Source organism: Homo sapiens, chromosome 1 (genome assembly GCF_000001405.40).
Source record: "Homo sapiens chromosome 1, GRCh38.p14 Primary Assembly".
Lineage (NCBI taxonomy): Eukaryota > Metazoa > Chordata > Mammalia > Primates > Hominidae > Homo > Homo sapiens.
The window spans coordinates 114,043,982-114,051,660 of NC_000001.11; the positions used below are offsets into that span (position 1 = coordinate 114,043,982).

The 7,679-nt window shown below is 43.7% G+C and overlaps 1 annotated feature.

The window, feature by feature from the left end:
* Positions 5,975-6,652: an enhancer, noted in NCBI's record as "NANOG hESC enhancer chr1:114592578-114593255 (GRCh37/hg19 assembly coordinates)". NCBI's record gives its function as "activates a minimal SCP1, AML or CMV promoter by ChIP-STARR-seq in primed H9 embryonic stem cells {active_cell/tissue: H9 hESC(primed)}" and the evidence as "EXISTENCE:reporter gene assay evidence [ECO:0000049][PMID:30033119]".

Consider the following 7,679-nt stretch of genomic DNA (forward strand, 5'->3'; position numbering starts at 1 on the left):
TTCCTTGCTTGGTAAGTGGCACCACTATACCCAGTTGTTCAAGCCAGAAACCTACAAGTTGTTCTTGATCTTTTCTCTCTCACCCTCTGTATCCAATCAATTAGCAAGTCTGGCAACTTATACCTTCCAAATATGTCTCAGATCTGTTGACTTCTCATCCTGGCCACTGTACCACTCAAGCCATTGTCATCTTTTGTCTGAACTATGGTTGTATCCTCCTAACAGTTCTCTCTTTCTCCCACTCTTGCTTTGTATTGAGGCAGAGGTGTTGGTGAATGGAGAGATTTTCCTTCCCGTTGCCTTCATGTTTCCATATGCAGGCACCATCATCAGATAAACGGTCCTGGCCGCCCTCAATGATTTGAGTGTCGAGTTTAGGAGATGGAATGAGCATGAATGGCTAATCTACTTGCCTTCTTTCACTATGGGATCTACCTGCCTCAGGAAGGCTGTATTAGTTTTCTAATGCCGTGTAATAAATGACAAAAAATCAGCAGCTTAAAATAACATGCAAATATTATCACGGAGTTTCTGTGAGTCAAGAGTCCGGGCATGGTCTCACTGAACCCTCTGTGCAGGGTCTCCTAAAGCTATAATCATGTGTCAGCCAGGCTGCATTTTCATCTGGAAACTTGACAAGGGAAGAATTAGCTTTTTGTTGTTGTTCATTCAGGTTGTTGGCAGAATTCATTTGCTTGAGGTTGAATGACTGAGAGCCTGGCTTTGCTGGCTAGTGGCTGGAGGTCACCCTCAGGTCCCTTCTGCAGTTCCTTGCCATGTTGGCTTCCTCAACATGCCTGCTTACTTCATCAAGCCAGCAAGAGGAATCTTTTGATCCAGCCTGCCATGGCAGAGTCTTAAATAAGGTAATGCACCCACGGGAATGACATACCCTCACCTTTGCCATATAATACAACTTAAGAGAGGGACAGCCCATCATTTTTCCCATATTCCATTGGTTAGAAGCAACTAACAGGTTCTACCTGCATTCATAGGGAAGGAATTACACAAAAGCATGGACACCAGGAGAGTGTCAGGAAGGGGACGAGAGCAATAGTCTCAAGTGCTGTAGAGATTTCAGGGGGGAATAGAGTCCATGTACTTGGCAACTAGGAGGTCAGAAGTGATTTTAACAAGGACAGTTTCAGTGGAATGTGGGACAGAGAGTGAAGGGGAAGGAAGGCAGTGGAGACAGTAAGTGTAGACTTATTTTGCACAAAGTTTGGTTGTGAAGTGAAGAAGAGGGGCTAGTAAGAAAGAAATGCAGGAGTTATTGTTTTCAGTCTCATACCTTTGGAGTCCAAATTTCTAGTACTTCCAGGGATACTGTGAGTAACCTCATAATATCTGAAAACAATTTTTTTTTCTAGTTAACTACTAGAATGGATTCTGTTGTATAAAATTTAGATTCTCTGATGAAATGGTGAGCTTGAGTAAAGTGATGAAGGTCTGAAATAGTAATTGTGGAGAAAAAGAGAGGGCTTTGGAAAAATGTTTTATAATAGAAGATCGTTGAGCATGGCTGAGGGAAAGAACCAATAGAAAGAGTAGGGTGGAGACCACACACTGAGCATGACTGATTGATGCAGCCACGTTTTTGAGGAGAAGGAGGTAGGAGATGTGGAATCTAGGGCAGAAGGGCTGGACTTGGACAGGTGGAGGGACATTGCTTTCACCGAGGCCAGAGGGAAAGCGGTAAAGATGGAAATGAAGAAAGATAAGTTGCATGGGTGTCGTGCAGGAGGTGGAGGTAGTCAATCCAATCTTGATGGCCTCTATATTCTCTGCTGAGGAGGAGGTAATGTTGTTGGCTAAGTCTGAGAGCAAAGTGATGATATAGGAGGTGGAGTGCACATCTGTCTGATTATGGTTTCCTGGCTTCTTTACATTGCTACCATCTATTTGCAGGCTCTATTCAAGTTTCACTGATTGTTCCAATAGTGTTAATTATATAGCAAAAGGATTCAACTTATGATTACACATTGCGTTATTTGTCATGTCTCTTTCAATCTTTCCCTTGAAGATGATAGGCCAGTTATTTTGTAGAATCTTCTTCAACGTGGGCTTGTCTATTGTTTCTTCATGATTATATGCAGGTAATACACCTTGGGTACAAATATTACAGGAGTGATGCTGTGTTCTCACTGCATCCTGTCAGGTGGTACATGATTTCTGTTTGTCCCATTACTGATGATGTTAACTTTGATGATTTAATTAAAGTGATATCTACCTGACCTCTCCTCTATAAGTTATTCTTTTTTCCCTTTGTAATTAATAAGCATTTTGTGAGGAGGTACTTAGTCATTATGTACATACCTCTTTTTTATCAATTTATTCCTTTATTTATTTATATCAGTAGTGACTCATGGTTTCTATTTTATTCACAGGGTTATAATGTTACTAATATCATTTATTTTCATGATTTCTCCACCAGATTTAACCATTGGAATCCCCTTCAAGCTGGCTTTTGGGTCTTTTTTGATACATCTTTATCATTCTTTGAAGATTTTCTTACTTTTGGGCAAAACAGGATGTCATAGGCTCATTCTGTACTTTCCCTGCCCCAGTCATGTGCTATGGACAGCATTGTGTCTCCTCAAAATTTATATGTTGAAGCCCTAACCTCCAATACGACTGTATTTGGAGATAGGGCCTATAAGGAGGTAATTAAGGTTAAATGAGGTCATATAGGCAGGGCCTTGATTTAATAGGATTAGTGTCTTCAGAAGAGACCAGAGAAAGCTTGTTTTCTTTCTCTCTCTCCCACTATGCAAGGACACAGTGAGAAGTCAGCCATCTGCAATCCAGGAAGACAGCACCCTCAAGAATGGAATCACTGGTATCTTGATCTTGGATTTCCCAGCCTTCAGAGCTGTGAGAAATAAATGTCTGTTTCTTAGTACACCTAGTCTGTAGCATTTTGTAGGGCAGCTCCAGCACAGTAAGGCATCATGGAATTAGCCATTTTTCTTTTTCTTTTTCTTTTATCTTTTCTTTCTTTCTTTCTTTCTTTTTTTTTTTGATGCAGAGTCTTGCTCTGTTGCCCAGGCTGGAGTGTAGTGGTGTGATCTCCACTCATTGCACCCTCAGCCTCCCAGTTTCAAGCAATTCTCATGCCTCAGGTTCCTGAGTAGCTGGGACCACAGGTGTGTGCCACCATGCCCAACTAATTTTTTTTTTTGTATTTTTAGTAGAGACAGAATTTCACCATGTTGGCCAGGCTGGTCTCAAACTCCTGACCTCAGGTGATCCACCTGCCTCAGCCTTGCAATGTGCTGGGATTACAGGTGTGAGCCATCATGCCCAGGTGGAATTAATCATTTCTCTAAGATGCCCTAGTTCCTTTTACGTGAGAATGGTATTTAGAAGCCACAATCTGGGTGCTGCATGTGCTTATTACAATGGAGATGTTGCTGCTTTCTTGGGAGGCAGAGATAGAGAATATATGTACATGCAAGTGTGTGTATATATATGTATTTATTTTTATATCTATTTATCTATGTTAAAAACCACAAATCCACTCCACTACCTCCAATTCCAATTCCAGTCCCAAATCACGGTGTTCATTCTAGTTTTCTCCCTTTCCATATTTGTAACTCCCATGTCTAACAGTAAGAAACCTAGCTCTATTATTTTTAATGTGTTATTTGTTCAACTTCTCTATATGTTGCCACCTCCCATTGCCACCCCTCTGCTGCAAGGATCCCCTTCTCACCGTTTTTGAGCTCTTCTACCCAACTGAGCTACTGCAACTGCTGCCTGTGATGATGCTCTCTTCACCTTGCCTGGGCTCCAGAACTCTGCATCAGGCTGCTCCCTCTACCAAAATCCTCCTCTTCCTCTGAAGCTCCAACACCCATATAGCAATGTTCCACTCCCATTTAAACATCCTTCTCATTCCTCTCAGGCTCTGACACCCTGTTCCGGGTCACCTTTTTATGCAAATGCCCCCTTTAGTCTGCTCAGGTTTTAATACCCTGCACTGGGCTGTACCCCCACGTGTGTGATGTCTTAGTTTGGGCTGTATATTAGTCAGGCTTATCTAGAGAAACAGAACCAATATGACGAGAATTGGCTCATGTGAGGCTCATGTGACTCAGAAGGCTGAGAAGTCCCACAGTATGCCATCTATAAGCTGGAGCCAGGAAAGCTGGTGGTGTGATTCAGAGTCCAAGGCCTGAGAACCAGGGGAGCCAATGGTATAACTCTTAGTTTGAGGCCAAAAGCCTGGGATCTGGTGGGGAGAGGTTCTGGTGTCAGCTTCAGATGCCATAGGCCCAAGAGCCAAGAGCTCTGATGTTCAAGGGCAGGAGAAGATGGATGTCCCAGCTCAAGGAGGGAGAGAGAATTTGCTCTTCCTCTATCACTTTGTTCTATCTGGGGCCTCAACAGATTAGACAATGCCTGCTCACACTGGGGAGGACGGATCTTCTTTACTCAGTCTACTGATTCACATGCTAATATCTTTCAGACACACCCTACCAGACACACCCAGAAATCATGTTTTACCAGTGATCTGGGCAACCCCCAGCCCAGTAATGTTAACACACAAAATTGACTATCACAGGCTGCTTCAACTGAATACTGCAGATGAGGTGGCTTGAACAGCAGAAATTTATTGATCACAGTTCTGAAGGCTTGAAAGTCCAAGATCAAGGCACCTGCAGATCTGGTGTCCGGTGAGGATGCTCTTCTTGGTTTGCAGGTGGCTGTGTCTTACATGGATGGCTGTGTCTTACTTGGGTCCTTACATGGAAGAAGGCAGACGGAGCAATCCCATGTCTTCCTCTTTTCTTTTTTAAACTTTTGAAACAGATTTTTTTTTTTTTTTGAGACAGGCTCTTGCTCTGTCACCCAGGCTACAGTGCAATGGCATGATCATGGCTCAGTGTAGCCTCAACTTCCTGGGTACAAGCAGTTCTCCCACCTCAGGCTCTTGAGTAGCTGGGACTACAGGTGTGAGCCACTATACCTGACTAATTTTTGTGTTGTTGTAGAGACAGGGTTTTGCCATGTTGCCCAGGCTGGTCTCAAACTCCTGAGCTCAAGCAATCTGCCAACTCCAGCCTCCCAAAGTGCTGGGATTACAGGCATGAACCACGGCACCTGGCTTCCTCCTCTTTTCATTAGGGCACTATCCCATTCATGAAGGATCCACTGTCATGACCTAATTATCACCCAGAATCCCCACCTCTAAGTCACACTGGGGACTTAAGCTTTAACACATACATTTTGGTGGACACAAATATTTAGTCTCTGTCTTCCTCACTCTTTTGGACTCTGACATTTCCTCCTGTGTGGACACCATCTCTCCTCACCCTGCTCAGGCTCCATTACCCTGTACTCTCCCCACCCAACTCAGGCTCTGATAATTCTGCACTGGACCTGCCCTCTCTTCCCTTGTGAAGACAACTCACTTTAGTCTGGCCCTGACAGCCTACTCTGGGACACAACAACTACCTCCCTTTCCCCAGTGCAGAGGTCTAATTTGGCCCTATCTAATGGCTTTTGAATGGAATTGTTCAGGAAGGTAAGAGAAGAGGAAGAAGAGTAGGAAAAGGAAGAGTAAGCCCTTTATCAACTGACTTTCCAAGGCAGAAGCAGGAATTCAATGTCCCCTTTCAGCCAGCCCTTGTAACTTAGGCACAGACATGTGAATCTGCCAACAGCTGGACTCACATAAGGCTTTAGTTTAGATGTGAATGACAGGGGAAAGCAGCATCTACTTTGTGATGAGTGTGGTGATGGAGGTTTCAGCTTTTCAGAGACAGTGGTGGTGGCGCTGTTTGCATCCAGTCCTCAGTGAGGGCTGCCGTGTGTGTGACGAGTGGCAGGGACAGTGATGTCTTTTGTCTTGTTTTTTTTTTTTAAATTTGAGACAGGGTCTCACTCTGTTGCCCAGGCTGGAGTGCAGTGGTGTGATCTTGGCTCACTACAGCCTCAACCTCCCAGGCTCAAGTGATCCTCTTGCCTCATCCTCCCAGGTAGCTGGGACTACAGGCATGTGCCATCATGCCTGGCTAATTTTTGTATTTTTTGTAGAGATGGGGTTTTGCCATATTGTCCAGGCTGGTCTCAAACTCCTGGGCTCAAGCAATCCACCTGCCTCAGCCTCCCAAAGTGCTGGGATTACAGGGGTGAGCCTCTGCACCTGGCCAGTGATGTCTTTTTAGGAGCCCCTGCAGAGTGTTTGGGAGCATTGTTCTTAATTGTGTAGCCTCTGAGCCCACTCTCTGGCTCTTCTAGAGAATCTTTGAATCATCTAATCTCTTTAATAGCTTCCTTTTGTTTAAACCAGTTAGAGTGGATTCTGTTGTCTGCAACTAACAACACTGATTTTTGTCTCTTTTGTGTCCCTTATGATGCCATTGTAAATCTTTGTTAATATGACAATCCTGCAAGAACTTCACTTTCACAGGGGCCTCTACTTCTCTAGGTAATGTAGTAAACAAATATTTACTAAGTCAAAAGAGTGTTTATTAACTTACAGGCTATTTAGTCAAACAAGCAGGAATTTATTTAACTGATCTTTAATCTTTAATGTGCCTAACACTCCAGGATTTATGGGTAGGATATACAACATCATAGACATTGAACTATCCTTAAAAAATATACACACTTCAGCAGTGTTTTGAAATCAGAAGTATCAATCAGTATCACCAGGGGAGTCTTTTTTTCTCCAAATGACTGAGCTTCTCCCAGGGAAATTCATATTTGGTAGGTTTGAGTTGGAACCCTAGGAACCCACACTGTATAAAAGCTCCCTGGTTGATTTTGATTCACCAACATGACAAGAGTATTTGAACTATTAGGTCTTAACCTCATGGTGCTGTCTATTGAGTGGATGGATAACACAGACAATCAGGTAATTAGCAGAAATGTAGGGAGGTCCCATGGGTAGTGAAAAGAGCAGCAGGCTCAGAGGCCGTATAGTGAGGCCTAGAAGTCAGAAAAAAGGGGGCTAGCAACAGCTTAGCAAACCCTCTAAGAGTTTGGAACTAAGGTTGCCTTAGAGATAAACTAATAAAAACGACTTTTAGCCAGGCGCAGTGGCTCACGCCTGTAATCCCAGCACTTTGGGAGGCCAAGGTGGGCTGATTGGCTGAGCTCAGGCGTTTGAGACCAGCCTGGGCAACATGGTGAAACCCCATCTGTACTAAAATACAAAAAATTAGCCAGGTGTGGTGGTGTGTGCCTGTAATCCCAGATACTCAGGAGGCTGAGGCAGAAGAATTGCTTGAACCCAGGAGGCGGAGGTTGCAGTGAGCTGAGATTGGGCTGCTGCACTCCATCCTGGGCGACAGAGTAAGACTCTGTCTCCCAAACAAAGAAACAACCAAAAAAAAACCTTTCAGCAGATGTAATCATATGTCCATGGGAATAAACCAAGAGATTGTCTGTAATATGAGATTTAAGAATTTGGGAATACCCAAAACACCTTAAGTGGAATCTCAAGGAGGTAGGACTAAAATGTGACTGTAGTTTAGTGAGTAGTAACCTAGTGATTAGGTTCTAATTATTACACCTGTATAGGAAAAATACGTGTACACTGAAGAAGATGGGTCGGGTTCAAACCTGAGCAGTGCTGGCCACTTTGGGCTGGTCTCTGCACATAGTAAAACATTCTCAAAGTCCTCTGTACCCATCTATCACCCCACTCATTATGGTGGCTGTTCCCC